Below are 18,854 nucleotides of genomic sequence, written 5' to 3'. Positions count from 1 at the left end.
GTTCATACATCTGTCTCCCCGTCTCCAATTTGTTAGCTCATTGATGATAGAAAACAAATAAAATTTTATTTCTCTTTACCTAGGGCCAGGTGCATAGTGGTCATTCAATAAGAAAACAAGTTACTATAATGGTTAAGAAATCAGGCTCTGGGATCAGACTAGACATGTAAAACTCCAGGCTTTGCCCTTTCTAGTGGTATGAACTGGACCATTTAAAAAATTTCACTAAGCCTGTTTCCTCATCTATAAAATGGGGCAAGTTATAGAGTCTACCTTATAGAGTTGTTGGGAAAATACAATGAGAAAAAATAAAGCAGTTAGGAAATGCACAATGACTCTTAGATATTAATACATTCATGGAATTAAATGTAATTTCATAACCTCTGCCAAATCACCTATACTCTAGGATGCTATATCCTCAATAAAAAATAATAATATGAAGGGTATAAAAAACTTTTATTCTTATGCCATTATAAAAAAATTAAAATGTTATTAGCTAGAAGACAGGACCAGCTACTAAGTAGTTAATACATGTTTAAAATGCTTTCAGCCGGGCGCAGTGGCTCATGCCTGTAATCCCAGCACTTTGGGAGCCTGAGGCAGGGCAGATTCCTTGAGCCCAGGAGTTTGAGACTAGCCTGGGCAACATGGTGAAACCTCGTCTTTACAAAAGATGCAAAAAAATAGCCAGGCATGGTGGCGCACACCTGTAATCCCAACTACACAAGAGGCTGAGATGGGAGAATCTCTTGAGCCTGGGAAGTCAAGGCAGCAGTGAGCGAAGATCGTGCCACTGCACTCCAGCCTAGGCAACAACTCTGTCTCTCTCTCTCTCTCTCACACACACACACACACACACACACACACACTCTCTCTCTCTCTCTCTCTCTCTCTCTCTATATATATATATATATATATATATACATATGCGGTCTGTTTTAAATATTTTAATTAAGACAAATTATTTCCTTCACTTCAAATTTGCCTTAAAAAAGAAAGAAGAATATATTAAAATAAACCAATATAACAAAGGAAGTCCATTTTAAAGCTGTATGTTACATTTCTGTTTTCACCATGAAGGAATAACTGGCACCAGATTGATCTTCCCATCACAGAAAACTAGAATGTAGAAAAAATGTATTTGTAAAATGGCTTTCAAACATTTGGCAGCTGGCTGGGAAGGACTGTGGTCTTCAAGAAAAGAGAAACAAATGAAATGATTTCTCTGATCATCCTGGCTTTCTATCTTGCTATCTTGAAGGCTTTACTGAAAACCAGCACATAGCTCAGATACCCAGAAAGGGCATGACATTCTCCATAAGCTGGAGAGAAATGATGAGAGGGAAGGGAGGGAAAAGGAGAGGGAGGGAGGGAGAGAGGCAGGCAGGGAGGGAGGGAGAGAGGGAGAGAGAGAAAGAGAGAGAGAGAGAGAGTGAGAGAGAGAGAGAGAGAGAGAGAGAGAGAGAGAGAGATCGATCTCGGAACTCAGGAAAGCAAAAGCAGCTAGAATTTGTGGAGCTATGTACCTGAGAAAACTAGGAAAATACCTCCAGAAATCTTCATAAGAGTCTTCTTAAGCCTTTGGCTGAACTCTAACCTGCACGTGCATAGGGTGAGACTCTGAGATTGGATAAAAAACAAGCAGTTGGAAAAGAACAATTATTTCTGGAGCTTAACAAGTAGGAGTTATATCTGTTCTAACCAATCAGTGTAAAGGAAACTTGTTGATCACTAGGGCATTCAGTGGACATTCATGAAAGACTATGTTTCAGAGGAGGACTAAATTAAGCCTATACCCAACTCTACATAAAGTAATAATATAAAGCATGTGGAATAGTATTAAAAAATTCAAGGACCAAATATACAGAAAAATCTGCAGACTTAGAATAAGCAAAGATTTCTTAGCTAGGGCATAAAATGAATGAACAATGAAAGGAAAACAATATGTATCAATTAGACTTCATCAAAATGTAGAATTTCTGCTCTTGAAAAGACACTGTGAAGAAAATAAATGGCAATTTAGAGACTAGAATAATTTTCAATATATCAACAGAGAGGTGGAATACAGAGACTAGATAATCTTTAGAAGATTTGTATCCAGAATGCATATATTTATATATACATAGTCAAATATTACAAATGGCTCATTAAAAAATAGGTCAAAGATTTGAACAGATATTTCACAAAACAAGATAAAGGAATAGCCAATAAGCATATGTTCAATATCATTAGCTATCAGGAAAACACAAACCAACAGTGACACTTCACACATATATAATGGCTAAACTGAGAGTCCTGAGTGTTGGCAAGGGTATGGAGCCATCCAAACTCTACTATATTGCTAGTGGAAAAATGATAAAATCACTTTGGAAAGCAGTTTGACAAGTTCCTGTAAAGATGTACATCTATACATTTACCATGTGACTTGGTAATTTTAATCCTAGAGAAATAGAAACCTATGTCTACACAAAGAATTGTAATTCAATGTTTATAGCAGATTTAAACATAATAGTCAAAAGTCTGCAAACAGTCAAAATGTCCCACCTCAAGGGAATAGATGGCAAATTGTGGATATTCATGACATGGAATACTAGTCAGCAGGAAAAAAGGAACAAGCTACTGTTTTGTGCATGTATCTTGTACAGGAATGAATCTCAGAAATATGCTGAGCAAAAGAAGACAGAAGCAAAAGAGTACATACTATATGATTCTATTATATAACCTTAGAATAGGCAAAACTAATCTAAAGTTATGTAAATTAAACCTGATTGCTAAAGGTGGGAGACTGCAAACAGTCATAAAGAAACTATTTGCAGTGACAAAAATATTCTGTACCTTGATTTAGAAGGTGGTTATACAGATGTATACATTTGTCAAGTTGAACTAAACATTTAAAAGAGACACATGATTATGTGCAATATTGTAAGTTGTATTTGATTATCTATAAGCTATAGTTCAATAACATTAACATTTAAGTTTTCATGAAGAAAATCCTCTTGTGTGAATAAAGAAATAATCCTCTTGTATGAATAAAGGAAAAAATAATAAATAAGATTTTCTTAAATTTATCTTTTTTCTTTTTCTACAAAAAAGGCATTATATCATAGCTATTTAATACAAAGCTTTAGGAATGGAAAAGACCTGTGGTCAAAATCCTAGCATTGTACTTTACTAGATACAGACTTTTGGCCAAGTTACTTTACCTCCCTATACCTCTGCTTTCTCATCTGTAAAATGTGAATAATATTACCTCCTGGGAGAATTATTGTACAACTTCATTGAGACAATGCCTCCAAAGCATTTAGCACAATGCTTGCATATAAGTACTCATTACCTATAGCCATTATTATTTTAAATGCCATTATTAGTTATTTCATCATAGCATGATTTCAGGAGGAACTTATAAGTAAGCATATACGTCAAGTCTATTTATCAAGCCAAAGTAAATAATAAATAATGACTTGATCTTATAATGATATCAATAACTAAAGGCTTAAGCAACAGCTCGAACTTTTAATATCACTTGTTTGCCCCCACTGAAATTACAATCAATGAAAGAAGAATATGGATTTTGATTTCTGAACAAACAAGAATTACTCAGCAGCTCAGTATAACAAAACATAGAACTTCATCTCCAGCAGAGGATGTCCCTGTTGCTAACTAGAATTTTCACACCTTAATAGCTGCAGTGTCTAAAGCTCTTTTTTAGATCATTGTATTAATGTTGCTGGCTTAGATGTCAATTCAATACATGGCATGGAAAAACATTGTCCAACGCAGCGTTTCTTACCCATGGGAGTCTATAAAGCCCAGGGCTTTTCAGGAGTTCTGCTACTTACCTGAAACTGTAGGCAAAGCTGGGCAAATGTATTTATGAATGTATTTTGAGGATGTGGTTATAAGTCAGACATTTAAAAGAGTCTATGAACCAAGCAAAGATAACTTAAAGCATACTTGAGAGACAAACACATTAGTAGCCCTGAAGGTTCCCCAGAAAATATCCAGGAAAACGTCTGAACACCACTATTGTTTTCCTATTTTTAAAAATGGAATTTCATTTGCTATAGTAAAGTGTCTTGGAAATTCCCTTGATGTTGATGATACTAGATTAGTCCATGTGACTGAGTGATCATACGAAGGGTAGCCCCAGATTAAAAGCATTGCATAGAACAAGCTGATCGGAAAGGAATTCTATTTTTAGCCTCCAGCTTTGTCATATGTCTAATTTTCCCTGTGGTTACAGTGGCCCGTTGCCAGTGTCCTCTGAGGATGACTGGGCTGAGGAAAATAGGGATTCGCTTCCTACTGCTGACCACCAACAAAGGCAGGATATATTGGAAATCCTGGCATGAGATGCTATTCTTTATTATGAATATTATTACGTTATTTCATTATTTTTTAGGTGCTGAAGGGCACAGTCTATTTTTGAAACACAGAGGAAGAAAAACAGAAATCTCATATGCTACAAATTTGTAGACTTCAGAACCCAAACAGGACTAACATGCTTTCTCCTTCGCCTTGGAGGTGGAGGGGGTGCTTTGAAGGTTGTCCTGGCATGTTCTAGGCTCTGGACTCCTAGAAAGTTTAGTGACATAATGGGCACCTGTACCTTCATAGGGTTTATCTACCACCCTGTGAAAGTTGTCAGAAGGAGTCACTAATGTTAAGAAAATCCTGACAGATAGGGCCAGTGAAGGCCATGAAGAGAGGATTCTCACACTTGTATGCTTGATAACAACAACAACAAAAATGAGACAATCCACAACCTTCACAAAGACCACAATAACTTTACACAAAATATACTTCTGCCAGGACATCTGCCCAGCAACTGCCTCCCTAACCTCGACTGTCGTCACTCTTGTTATTGATCTTTGTTACAAAGGATAATTATTTCAAAACAATTAAGTAATACTCCTGAGTTTTTCCCTTTAAAAACCTTTGTCTTCCTTTACCTCCCTGAATATGCACATATTTACTATGGCATGCATATATTCCCATCGCAATATTTTATTCCCAAATAAGTGTTTTCTTTTAGAAAGCCTCTGTTTGTTTTTTAGGTTGGCAATCCTTTCAAGTGCATATATCTTACCAAGACTTCCAATAGATTTTCCATTTCCTGTTCATCCATTCCAATAATAACAGTATCACCCATATAGCTGACCAGTGTAATGTGCTGCAAAATACCAAGGTGACCCATATCCCTTCAGACTTTATTCTGATTATGGGAGGAAAATTAGTTTGGCCTTGGGACAAGACTATAAATATATACTGTTTTCTATCCCATGCAAATTTGATTCTGTACTGTTTCTGGTTGTCCTTCCTAAGAGTGATGGAAAAAAAAATGTATTAATTAAGTCAGTGGTCACATGCTATGTACCAGAAGCCATATCAATCTGCTCTAGCAAAGATACAGTATCTACCACCACTGCTGCCATCAAGAGGCTTCTAGTTGATGGAGTCTGTGATATCCTACTGTCGTTCAACAGAGTCTGTGCAGCATTGTAGCAGGCCCGAGAATGGTGGGTTAAACAGAGACATGATGGGGATCATCATTCTTGCAGCTTTTAGCTCTTTAAAGTTGGCATCAATTCTGTCATTCCCCCTGGAATTCAGCAGCATTATTTTTCATTTACCTCGAGTAACATTTACTGCTTTTGGTAGACAGATCTGAGTTTTTATACACACATAAATTTTTGTAACTATACTGTATGTAGGATACAGGATAATTCCAACACACCGAAGAATTCTCTTGTGCCGTCTCTTTCATTCCAATCCCCCACAACATGCACACATAGACACATAGACACATATCTAACCTCTAACCTCTGGCAATCACTGAGCTATTCTCTCTCTTGCCTTTTCCAGAATGCCATGTAAATGTAATCATACACAAGTAATTTTTTGAAACTGGATTTTTTCACTTAATAAAATGCATTTAAAATTAACCCAAATTGCATATAACAATGATTCATTCCTTTTTCATTGCTGAGTAGTATTCTATTGTGCAGATGCACCATAGTTTATCCGTTCATCTACTGAAGGACATTTAGATTGTTTCCAGTTTGGTAAAATTATACATTTTAGAGCTGTTTTAAACATTTATGTACTGATTTTTATGTGAATCTATTTTAAAATTTTCCTGGGTTAATGTATTTATCATCTATTGCTATGTAACAGATTATGCCAAAACTCAACAGCTTAAAACAATATGAATTTATTTCTCTTTATTTCTTTGATCAGGAGTCTGGGCATGGGATGGCTGTGTCTTCTACTTCAAATCTCTCACAGGATGCAATCAAGTTTTATCAACTGGCCTAGGGAAGGATTCAATTCTTAGGTCTTCCATGGTGGTTAGTAAGACTGTTCCATGTGGCTTTTGGATGGTCTGAACTCATTCAACATTGTCAGTGGGTAGGTTTTCTGACCTTCAGTTGCATATCCAATTGGCATGTCCACTTCTCTGAGCCTTTTGAACCCTTCCTCTACCATTTTCCATGGCAATCCTGGCATTGCTACTTCACTTAGTAGTGGCTATCACCTTTTACTTGTTTTCTTTTCTTTCTTTCTTTTTTTTGAAATGGAGTCTCACTCTATCACCCAAGCTTGAGTGCAATGGCGCCATCTCAGCTCACTGTAACCTCTGCCTCCCAGGTTCAAGTGATTCTCATGCCTCAGACTCCCCAGTAGCTGGGATTATAGGTGTGCACCACCACACGAGCTATTTTTTTGTGTGTGTATGTATTTTTAGTAGAGACAGGGTTTCACTGTGTTGGCTAGGCTGGCCTCAAACTCCTGACCTCAAGTGATCTGCCAGCCTCAGCCTCCTAAAGTGCTGGGATTACAGGCGTTAACCTGTAAAAGGAGGCCCGGCTTCCTTTTACTTGTTTCCAAAAGTCATTCTAGCAGCATATTAGTACCATCTCCCAAGGTTGCTACCAAGGTATAAAATCCTACACTACAGGAGGGATATCCTGTATCAACACACTCTACTTCATCCAACTTTACATATTATCCCCCTTGATCCACTACCCTCAAGATCCAGACCCAGATATACTACCCTGGCTAGGTCCTGCAACTCCTTCTGTCCATAGTCAGTGTCTTCCTTAACTAATTTATCACTTCCTCAGCTGGGCCAATGCCACATTGCATTTCAAATCTATTAGTCTATTGGCTAGCAGAAGAGGTGAGAGTATCATCTGAGATTAATCAAATGCAGATAAACCTCATCAGTAAAAAGTGGGCTACTTCTGCAGGGCCAGAATGTCCAAAGAGATTCAAGACACTCATGTGCATCAGCCCAGGTATAACCAACCCAACTTTCAGGGTCTCACTCTTTCCCAATAAAGGCCCTGACGATGGCATAATAGATCTGTTGGGATTAAGAACTTGACTTTCTCTGGAGCTTAGCTACTCTTGAAATTAAGTTCTATGTTATAATCACCTTTTTCTGTCCACTAGCTAGAGATGTGAAACTTTATATGTTGCTATGGAGACTGGCTTTCAAGCTTTACCTTATATTGATTATTCATCACAGGCTTTTTGTTATTTTCTAATAAATTGATAACCATCATAAATAAACATCCAATTCCACAGTATTTATAATTAATACCCTCCTCCAACTTCTAAAATGGATAAAACAGTGTTTCTCTAAGGACATTTTCTTTCACTGATTTCCCATCACAGTCAGCTTCCTGGGTCCACTTTCAGTGCAACTTCTAATACCAACTGTCATAGGTCAGGTTCACTAGGAAATAAACATTGAGATTCTGAGTTTTATGTGTAGCAAGTTCATTGGAGAATAAGGAAAGCAGGATTTGGGATAGAGAAGTGTTTAACTGTGAGGCAATGCAAGAGATGCCTCAACCAATCCAGTCGGGGGTTTTAGAACTTGGAGAGTCCTTCAGAGTGATCCCCTTGGAGCAAGAGGACAGAGCTTTGTGCTCTTATGTCAACCAGTCATTGGATATGGGTCAACCACAGGGATGGAGCATAACCTGGGATGAGGCAGTTTTCTTACACTGAGGACAGTTTCTAGAGAATAACTATGCTGCTGGCCATTAATGGGCAACACCTCTGGCAGCTAGAAGAATGAGTTCCTTGGTTCTGAAGTGGGGGTCAGGGCAGTGTTTACTGAAAGGCAAAATCCCAAATTGTTTTAAGTACTTATAACTTATGCAGATGGAGTTAAAGAATGTAATAGAGAGCCTTATTTCCATTGGAGATTTGGGAATTCCTCTTGACAATAGGCATTTACACTAGGGGGTAGGGGTGTTGAAGGTAAAGCATGTGTGATGGTCCTGGGGTAGGAAGAGCTGGGCAACTCGAAATCTAAGATTTCTGGAGCACTGATTTCAATTGGGAGAGGATGAGAGTAAAGATGTAGGAAGGTAAAGGTCACATGGAAATTTATAGACCACTTAAGAGATTTTGGATTTTATCAATGGCAATAAACTACTGAAGAGATTAAAGCAAGAAAGTGTCATTATTATTACTGCAGTTAGAAAAGCTCACTTTAGCTAGCTATTGTATGCCAAATGAATTATAGAGGAGCATAAATAGAAGTTAGGGAACTAAGAGAGTTTGTAATAACCCAAGTTAGAGATGTTGATTTAGTGTGACAGAAATAGGTTTGGAATAAGTGGACTGATGTGATATGGATTTTGGAAGAAGACTTGTTGCTTAATTACAAATGGAGAATGAGAGAGTGAACCTTGTTAGGAATGACGTCCCAGTCTCTTCCTCCTCTGTAGCAAAAGAGAATGAGGAGAAATGACCTATAAGATGAACTAAAAATAAAGAATTTTACATTATGTATTCCCTCATAAAGATACTAGATTGGTACCAAGAAAGAAACAACATAGTTTAAGGACATTATTTTTTTCTAGACTCAAATTGGGCAGAAAAGAAAAATATTTTGTCTAGCTGAGCCACAAACTGTTTCACCTTCACTTTTGAAGAAACTTTAGGCCGGGCACTGTGGCTCATATCTGTAATACTAGCACTTTGGGAGGCTGAGGCGGGTAGATCACCTGAGGTCAGGAGTTCGATACCAGCCTGGCCAACATGGCAAAACCCCGTCTCTACTAAAAATACAAAAATCAGCCAGGCATAGTGGCGGGTGCCTGTAATTCCAGCTACTCAGGAGGCTGAGGCAGGAGAATCACTTGAACCCGGGAGGCTGAGGTTGCAGTGAGCCAAGATCACGCCACTGCATTCCAGCCTAGGTGACAAGAGCGAAATGCCTTCTCAAAAATAAATAAATAAATAAACAAACAAACTTTAGCAAATCCATGAGGTTTTCCTTATCTGCTGGTTTGTTTAGGACTAGGTTTGGAGACTTACTGTAGGTGGCATTTAGAGAGATTTTATGAACAAACGTGATCCCTGCCCTCTAGAAGCTTATTAGAGAAATGAAGTTATCTATACACTGGATGTGTAGTGAGTATCCTAGAGAAGGAAAAAGAGGAGGGAAGGCATGGGCTGTTCTTATAGCTATCACTCCCGTGTTTATTTCCTCCTTTCTATTTTTTTTTTTAAGAGAAGATAAAAATGTTTTTTAGTGAAAGAAAAATTGCTAAAAGGCCATACTGAAAAGTACATAGAAAAAAATGTGGCTTTAATGGCAACCAAAAATATCAAGTCCAAAGACTACACTAGTGTTACAGGATTCTTGGGGTGTCAATTTTTGGCCAGAAACCTCTGTGGCCAGTGGCACCTTGGCCCGGGTTTTTCTCGGGCCTGCTGGGTTCGTTCTGCCCACTTAGCCTGGTGGGCTGCGCTTAGCTCATGCTACCAGTCTGGATCCCACGCCTGCCAAGGGCAAGTCAACCACAGAGCGGCGAGGGGTGTGTGAGTGAGCATGGACTCTGGCCACTGCATAATCAGACATGCCAGGTGCTGCAGTGGGGTGGGCAGCTCCAGGTGCTGGCATGGGTGCCAGCTCTCTGTGAGGCTGTGGCTGGATCAGACACACTGCAAGCAGCTTCCACAGCTAGCACTGGGGAACGTGGTGGTGCACAGAAGCTTGGAGATGCCAGGAACCACAGGATTCCAAAGAGGGAGTCACAGCTCTGGGGAGTTCCCAGATCTGGGCTCCCCAAAGGGCTGCAGCTCTTCTTTCCTTCTCTTTACCCACAATGTGGTAAGCAAGGGACATGTTTCAACCCTGTTTGTGTTATAGCTCCTTTAGCCCCACCATTCAATGGGTTCTGAGTTCTTGTCCTGTGACCATGAAGAATGAGGTACACAGAGAAGTGGAGGGTGATCAAGGTGAAGAGGACCATGTTGAGTGATAGAAGAGCTCAGTGGAGACCTGCAGTGGGTAGCTCCTTTCTGCAGCCAGGGTGTCCCAAAAAGTGTTCGGCTCCTAGCAGAGAAGAGACCCTGAAGTGAGAAGCTCCTCTCTGCAGGCAGGTCATCCTGTCATCTCTGCAGCTCTCAGCAGAGAGGAGGCCCTGGAGAGGGTAGCTCCTCTCTGCAGCTGGTTGTCCTGACATCTCTGCAGCTCTCAGCAGAGAGGAGGCCCTAGAATGGGTAGCTCCTCCCTGCAGCTGATCATCCCAATGTCTGATGAGGTCTATCTGAGCCTGGAGCTTTTATGGGCCTTAGATGTGAGGAAGTGCATGCCAGTTGGTCCATGAACGGCCATGGGCAGGCCCAGAAAAGGTACCACAAGTTCCTACTCCAGTCTGCAGGACTGGCAACCCAGGCACCAGCCTTGAGGCCCTCCCTGGCCTGAAGGTGAGGCCTCACCAGGGACCCAGCCCCTTCCACCCAGAAACCTGTTAGCCTCCTGCTGCTGTTCATGGTGCCCAGGCTGTAGGTGCCAAGGGGTGCCTGAAGGCCAGCACCAAGCTGCTCTCAGTTTCCCCTAAGCTTCCTCCCATGCCCATTGGTGCCCAAAGTTGGCACCGTTGGGCCAAGGTGCCAGGGAGCTGGTGTGTCAGCACTGCCCTGTGTGTGCACACCTAGCCAGGCTGCAACAGTGCCTGAGTACAGCCTCGACTTTGCTTCAGAATCGGAGTGGATGCCAACAGCAGGGAGAAGCCAGGCAGTGGGAGCAGGCACTTCTGAGCCTGCAAGTGAAGGGGGGCTTTCCCAGGCCCCCAAGAGTGCAAAGATACCTGGGTTCACAGTCATGGTTTGGGCAGGTGCCACTGTGCAGGAGTGAGGCGGTGGGTGGCTAGAGTCGGACTCCTGCCTGCTCCGTGGAGGTGGAGGCCTGGGTCTACAGCCATGACTTGGGTGGCTGCAGCTGCACCTGGGAGGGTGGGCCTCCTGCCTGCTTCTGGGCCCCAGGAGCACAGAAATGCCTGGGTCTGCAGCTGTGGCTTGGGCAGCTGAAGCAGCACCTTGGGAGCCTCTGCCCTAACACAGAAGGGGCGGGGCTTTGCTTGTTTCCAGCTACCACTGGCTCCATAGACTATGCAGCCAGGCCGCACCTCCCTGCTGCAGCTGGCATGGTGGCAGCAGCTGCTCCAGATGGCCTGCCACTGTCATCACTAGAGTTTTATGTAATGGCACTTACGAGGTTATGATTTGTTTCAGGAGTTTTCTAGGAGTTGAGGTTCCCATCAGAAAACTCAGAGGCCAATAGACCTTCAGCCTTTCCAAATCCTGACTCGGTGCATCAAAGCACACGTCCAAGCAGGCTCTACCCAGCCTTCTCTTCACAAACTCTGCAGATGAATGAGTAGTATGAAGGGGAAAGAAATAAAAGGACCCGAAGTTAGGTTTATACAGTGCATGTCCAGGAGTCTACTTAGGCAGTATTAAAGGCACTGTAGTCCAGTTTTCTCAAATCCCATACTCATTCTACAACTGGCTATCTACGTAACCTCAGAAAAGTTCCCTAAGCCTCCATTTTCTCATCGGAGAAATGAGGACAATAATGTTGTTCCATTAGAGTTCCTACAAAGATTAAATGTGACCACTGATACAAAGAGTAGAGGCTTGCTCCATCAAGGCTTCTCAATACATGTTAGCTGTTATTACCAGTACCACTAGGCAGAGAAGGAGGATACAAAAGTAGTAAAACAGAGTCCTTGCAATTCATTAAGGAAAATAAAACATTCATATAAAATAATTTTATGGCCAATAGAGGTAAGTCACCATAGGACTCAGCGATATCAAACCAAAAAGGTAGGAATGAATAAGTGGAATGTTTAGGATTTCCAAGTAGTGACATTTGGTCATATAAATAGAAAAATAAAGAAGTTCACTCAACACATAATATAAATTATTCACCAAGTCACCCAAGAAGACCATAGATATTCAATAATGTCAATTACCTCTACATCTATGTTCCAGTTACTATAAGTGGTTTCATAGACTATCTTACAGGAGAAGAAAACAGGTTTGGGGATAGAATGAGTTGATACACAACAGTATTTTCTGTGAAATAACTATTAACTTGGTAGCAGCGGGATTTCTCTGTGACCTTGGTTGCTTGCAATGCATGAAGAACAGGAAGTTAATTAGCAAATGAGGCAGAGAAAAAACCATATACTGATTTTCTTTTCTACATGTGCTCAAAGGTTAGTAGGAGAGGGGAGAAAATGGACTGACAGTCCCGTGATGGTGAGCCAGACCACTCAGCCTTTGCTGTTTGGAGCAGCAGCTGTGGCACAGAGTGAGCAGCCTGTCACCAGAAGAATGCAGCAATTCCTGGGCATAGAAAAAATGTTGTGAAAGTCTCTTTAAGGGAAAATGTACACCCAGCCATTGAAAAAAAAAATGGAAACAAAACATAAATAGATTCAGAAGTGTGGTATTTTGATTGCTGAAGTTTAGGAAATGTGGAAAATAAGAAAATGGAGATGAAATTAAAACTGAAGCAAATTATCCTTTTTAATTTATCCATATACAGAAATTAGATGCTGGTGGACTCCCAGGGAAAGTTCAGATTCCCACAAATGATTCAGAGTTTGGTTTTAAGTAGCAGCCGATAAAAAGGAGCCATGTGGCTATTTTGGTGTTCGTGGTTAAGGGAGGCTTCAGGGCTACAAAACAGTCCAGTTTTTAAACCACTTTAAAATAAATAATAGAAAATGACTTTACCAACTTACCCAAATCTGTTGACATTGTTTCAGAATTCCTTAAATATCTGTGTGTAAGAAAATTCTTGTGAACTTAAAGTGACGCTTTTAATAGTATTAGTTATTTTTTGTTAAAGTGCCCAGGGACCTTGATTGCCTGTGAGATCCAAAGACTTACAATGGGCTATCCTTTCAGTAGAATCAGGAAAATCACCATTTTAAGAAGAAATTGAATTTTTCCACCTTAAAAATTCATGTACTAAATTGCATTTACAGAGATTTGAAGAGTGTTGTTCTACTGCATGTAGAAAGCCACGCAAATGATTTTGCTGCCTTAACTATTTGCCATCTCTAAGCAGTTTCACAAGGAGATTGACCTGGGATACACACCCACTCACCTGGCAGAACTCTGAATGGGGGTACTTACAGAAGGCAGCTACTATAAAAATGTTGGATTTAAACTGTTACATGTAAATAAGAAAAAGAAAAAAATGAAAATATTTTCAAATGTACTAGAAAATGAAAGTTCTGAGTGCACTAAGCTAGCTTCTTAAAAAGTTGTTTTGGTAAACAGTAATTTCAAAAGAGGCTTGAGGAGGTCCATACCATATCCCACCTCTAGAATTGCAGGATCCTCCCAAGTCAATAGGGTTCACTCGCTCGGTAAGGTATCTGGAGTCAGGACACACAGGAATCAGCCTGCTGTTCTCTTTTTCATCTCAAGGAAAGCGAAGAAAGTGCAAAGTTATTTCACTAGTCCCTGGAAGCATGCCCACATTTTTACGGAAACATCTTTAGACACGAGTCTCCAAAAAGATAAGAAGTTCTTATGCATGACTCTTCTCCACTCCTTTATCCCACTCTGAATGTGTACATTTGGAAATGATTGAAAATATGCCACAAATGTGTTTTTGACCTGGATGTCTTTGAGTTGAGGCATCCCTCCTTTGAACAAGTGCCTAAGACACGGGTTGAGCACTGTGGGTAAATGTAAATATAAATACACACTGTCCATGCATATTATGTAACATTTACATTTACCTATGGGAACCAGATGAGAGGGCAGACTGAGGATCTTAAAAGGAGATACTTCTTGGAGACAATGACTTCATAAAGAATATGTGAAGGAAATATCACAGGCAGGATAACAAATTTTGTACTTCAGAAGCCTGATGTCAATCAGCCTTAATTAAATCAAGACCTCAGGATTTCTGATGTTTCTGTGAATGAGTGAGCAGTAGATATGTTTTAAATATTGTAAAAAGGTTCCTTAAATAAAGACTTTTATGTCAGTTCAAGGCATGAAAAAGATTCAGGATATATCCAAGGACAGTTTTCCCAGTGGGACATACCACATCAATCTTTTATTGTTTCATGTCAACCTGTCTTCTTTTTTGTTTTGTTTGGTTTTATTATTATACTTTAAGTTTTAGGGTACATGTGCACAATGTGCAGGTTAGTTACATATGTATACATGTGCCATGCTGGTGTGCTGCACCCATTAACTTGTCATTTAGCATTAGGTATATCTCCTAAAGCTATCCCTCCCCCCTCCCCCCACCCCACAACAGTCCCCAGAGTGTAATATTCCCCTTCCTGTGTCCATGTGTTCTCATTGTTCAATTCCCACCTATGAGTGAGAATATGCAGTGTTTGGTTTTTTGTCCTTGCAATAGTTTACTGAGAATGATGATTTCCAATTTCATCCATGTCCCTACAAAGGACATGAACTCATCATTTTTTATGGCTGCATAGTATTCCATGGTGTATATATGCCACATTTTCTTAATCCAGTCTATCATTGTTGGACATTTGGGTTGGTTCTGTCTTCTTATAAATATTGGTAAATAGTTAACTGAGACTCAGAAATAAAAGAAAAAATATCAAAATATAAGATTACAGGCTATGTTCTAGAAATGCCACATCAAAACCATAGACAAAGCCAGCTTTACAGCTGTGAAATCATACTTAAAAAATACTTTATTTTAGTCACCAAACTCACAGATAACTATGATAATTTTGTGTAAATAGTCAATGAACACATAAGTCACCTCTATTGACTCAAGTTTATTTCCCAATTTCCATCGGAGCAATGGATGGATGATATGTGCTTAATATTTGTTAATTGTGATTGAGTTTGATTAACAAGATAAAATAGCGATTGAAAGTGAAGTTATTTTTTGTCTGCACCCATCAACTACCCATTCTCCAACTGACTTTATATGATCAAAAATATGTAAAATGTGAATCTCAGTTAAAATTGAACATAAGGTCAGGCGCCGTGGCTCACACTGTAATCCCAGCACTTTTGGAGGCCGAGGTGGGTGGATTGCTTGAGCCCAGGAGTTCAAGACCAGCCTGGACAACATGGCGAAACCCCATCTCTACAAAAAATACAAAAATTGTGCAGGCATGGTGGTATGCACCTGTGGTCCCAGTTATTCAGGAGGCTGAGGTGGGAGGATCTCTTGAGCACAGGAGGCGGAGGTTGCAGTGAGCGACGTCACACCATTGCACTCCAGCCTGGACAATGAGAGTGAAACCATGTCTCAAAAAAAAAAAAAAAAAGGAACATATTTTCCCATCCAAACATTAGCCCTCTGCCAAACTTAGAAGAAAGTGCATCTTATTCTTCTACTATAGTCTCCAAAGGCAGCCGCAAGATTATAGTTCTGAATGTAGACAGAACTGAGAACATTGTGTTCACTTTTCTGTTCTCTTCATAATCATTGCAACAGGGATAGTTATCAGTGAGAAATAGCTGGACAATCAAATGACAGTAATCACAAGAGTGTAAACAAATCAAGGAAGGCAGGAGGGTGGGGAATGAAAAATGAGGTTTTTTCTTTCAGGGAGTTCATGCACTTTTTGAACATCAGTTGAGTTTAAATAAGTGGATTAACAGGACACCAAAGATAAAACCTTGAAGATTGCTAAGGTCTCAAATAATGTCTCAGGTCACACACGGATAGAATCAGCAGGAGAAAATTTAATCATATATAATAGTTAAATTTTCTGTGTGTGTGCATGCGTGTGTGTGTGTCTGTGTGTCAAGTCAACACCAAATCTCAAAGAAATTTCTATGACTTCCCTTTCAGAAAATTTCTTACCACCTTTCTTCTATGAAGTGTTAAAATCAGTATTGTCTAAATAATTTTATTCCAAAGAAAATTGGTTCTTTGGATTGAAATCAATTGGGGACACACCAGTTCCCTGAATATCAAGACAATTTTGGCTAAAATGGGAAAGATCACCTATTATTTTTATGTAACTAACCAAAGAAACAGGTGGATGATTATGAAAATATCAGTAGCATCCAAGAAAAATAATAATCCAACATTTTAAAAGAAAGCCCAAGGAAATTCTGACACCTGAGTGCACGTCATGCGCAAACTCTATTTCCCCTTCTGCCTATCTGCATTGACATTTTACTTCACTTTCAAAGGCCCCATGTCTTTCCTCTATAGCACAACCAAAGCACCAAAGTTCATTTGCCTTCTAAATATTTCAAATTTACATTTCAACAAACGAAAACCATCAACAGAGTGAAAAGACAACCTACATAATGGGAGAAAATATTTGCAAACCATACATCTCGTAGTGGAATGAATCTCCAAAATGTCATATATGTAACTCCTACAATTCAACAGAAAAAAAGAAACCTAATAACCAGAATTTTTTGAGGAGCTAAGGGCTTGACTAGATAGTTCTCTGGAGAAGACATATTAATGCCAACAAATATATGAAAAATGCATATCAAAAGCACAATGAGATATCCTCGCACATCTGTCAGGATGGCTATTATCAGTAAAACAAAAGACAACCAGTGTTGGACGAAGATGTAGAAAAATTGGAACCTTTCCACACTATTGGCGGGATTACAAAATGGTGCAGCTGCTATGGAAAACAGTGTAGAAGTTCCCCCCTTAAAACAAAAATAGCACTACTATATAATTCAGCAATCCCAGTTCTGGATATTTATCAAAAATAATTAAATTACAATGTGGAAAAAATATTAGCACTTTTATGTTTATCGAGCACTACCTCATAGTAGTCAACATTGGAAATGACCTAAATGTCTTTTTTTTTTTTTTTTTTTTTTTTTGAGATGGAGTTTCACTCTGTTGCCCAGGCTGGAGTGCAGTGGAACGATCTCGGCTCACTGCAAGCTCCGCCTCCCGGGTTCATGTCATTCTCCTGCCTCAGCCTCCCGAGTAGCTGGGACTACAGGCACCCACCACCGTGCCCGGCTAATTTTGTTTTTGTATTTTTAGTAGAGATGGGGTTTCACCGTGTCAGCCAGGATGGTCTCTATCTCCTGACCTCCTGATCCACCCACCTCGGCCTCCCAAAGTGCTGGGATTACAGGCATGAGCTGCCACCTCCCGGCCCCTAAATGTCTTGAGAGATGAAAGGCAGATAAAGAAATGTGGTATATACATACAATGCAATATGATGCAGCCTTAGAGAAAAGAAGAAAATTCTGCAAAGACAACATAGTTGAACTTTTATGAAATAGGCCATCCACAGAAAGACGCATACTGCATGATTCCATTTCTATGAGGTACCTAAAATAGTCCTATTGATAGAATCAAAGAGTGAAATGGTGGTTGCCAGCTGCTGAGGGGAGAAGGAAATGGGGAATTATTAATCAATTGGTATAAAGTTTTAGTCAAGCAAGATGCATAGGCTCTAGAGATCTGCTGTACATTGTACCTAGAGTCCATAATAATATATTGTACACTTAAATTGTTAAAGGAGTAAGATGTCATGTTAAGTGTTCTTATCACAATAAAATGAAATAAAATTTACATTTGATTATGATGGAAATGAGATATTACAGGGTGAGTAGCTGATACCTAAAAATTCATGCAACTAAGTAAAATTTTGAAGTATAGTGTATGTTGAAGTATTTTCAAATCATTATAAAAACTAAGGAAAATGATACAGAATGAAAGTTGGCTAACAATTTAAATGAAAATCACATCCTTTAAAGACAGCAAAAAGAGATAGATGACTAAAACATAATTAAAGACTAATCATTTTAATTGCTTCTGTCTTATGGCTGGGCAAAATGAAGTGAATCCATGGAATTGTCAGGAATTCATAATCAAATTAACATCTTTGCACTTGGAGAGTTCATTGCATGACCTTATACTTCTTCATTCCCAAAGTCTGAAACCATGTCTCTGTTACGATGAAGCACAGACTTGGCCCCTGCAGCATTTTGAAATGTGTTTGGTCTGAACATGCACAGGCTATCAGAGACCCAACCTTAAAACCACAGAGGATTCTAGAATAACCTAATGCTTTCACCTGTCTCTAATCAAACCCTTTCCACATATCCAGAGTTTGGTTTTAATTTTCTAGTGCAATCAGGGAAAACTGTTGAGATTTTATATTTTTGGTCTCTACACATCAGCACGAATGGTAATACATCATCATTTCAGTTGGTTTTTATTATTAATCACCTTCCTGCTTACAAATGCCTCTTGTAATTTGTGTTCTCCAAAAGAATCCAATAAAAATAAAGAATGGGGTGAAGTAAGCAGGCTTCTGAGAAACAAAGCAGATTAAACGCTGTGCTTTCATGACCAGTAAATATTTTCCAACAGCATATATGTTTTTGAGTTGTTATAAAAGAACTCATAGCAATCATTGGAACTCATAGGGGCTCTTTGTTTGTCTGCAATTACATTCTCCTGAACTAGTGTAATACTTCTACTTTGTGGAGCCACTGTTTTGATCGTTCTGGTGAGAGGCCTGATTCTTAAACTATAACATTTCACTTGTAGATGTTTGTGGTTTCTAATATTA

The 18,854-nt window shown here is 39.5% G+C and overlaps 1 long non-coding RNA gene across 2 annotated transcripts in view, besides 1 other annotated feature; it reads right to left on the bottom strand.

Moving 5' to 3' along the window:
* The window catches only part of LINC01483 (long intergenic non-protein coding RNA 1483), a 309,014-nt gene that overhangs the window by 70,506 nt on the left and 219,654 nt on the right, over positions 1–18,854 (bottom strand). The gene's annotated exons all lie outside the window — the stretch shown is intronic.
* Positions 13,700–13,900: a silencer, noted in NCBI's record as "peak2972 fragment used in MPRA reporter construct". NCBI's record gives its function as "represses an SCP1 promoter by STARR-seq MPRAs in K562 erythroleukemia cells {active_cell/tissue: K562}" and the evidence as "EXISTENCE:reporter gene assay evidence [ECO:0000049][PMID:32103011]".

Source organism: Homo sapiens, chromosome 17 (assembly GCF_000001405.40).
Source record: "Homo sapiens chromosome 17, GRCh38.p14 Primary Assembly".
NCBI lineage: Eukaryota > Metazoa > Chordata > Mammalia > Primates > Hominidae > Homo > Homo sapiens.
Note: the sequence above shows the minus strand (reverse complement) of the source record. Positions and strands in the feature narration are given on the sequence as shown.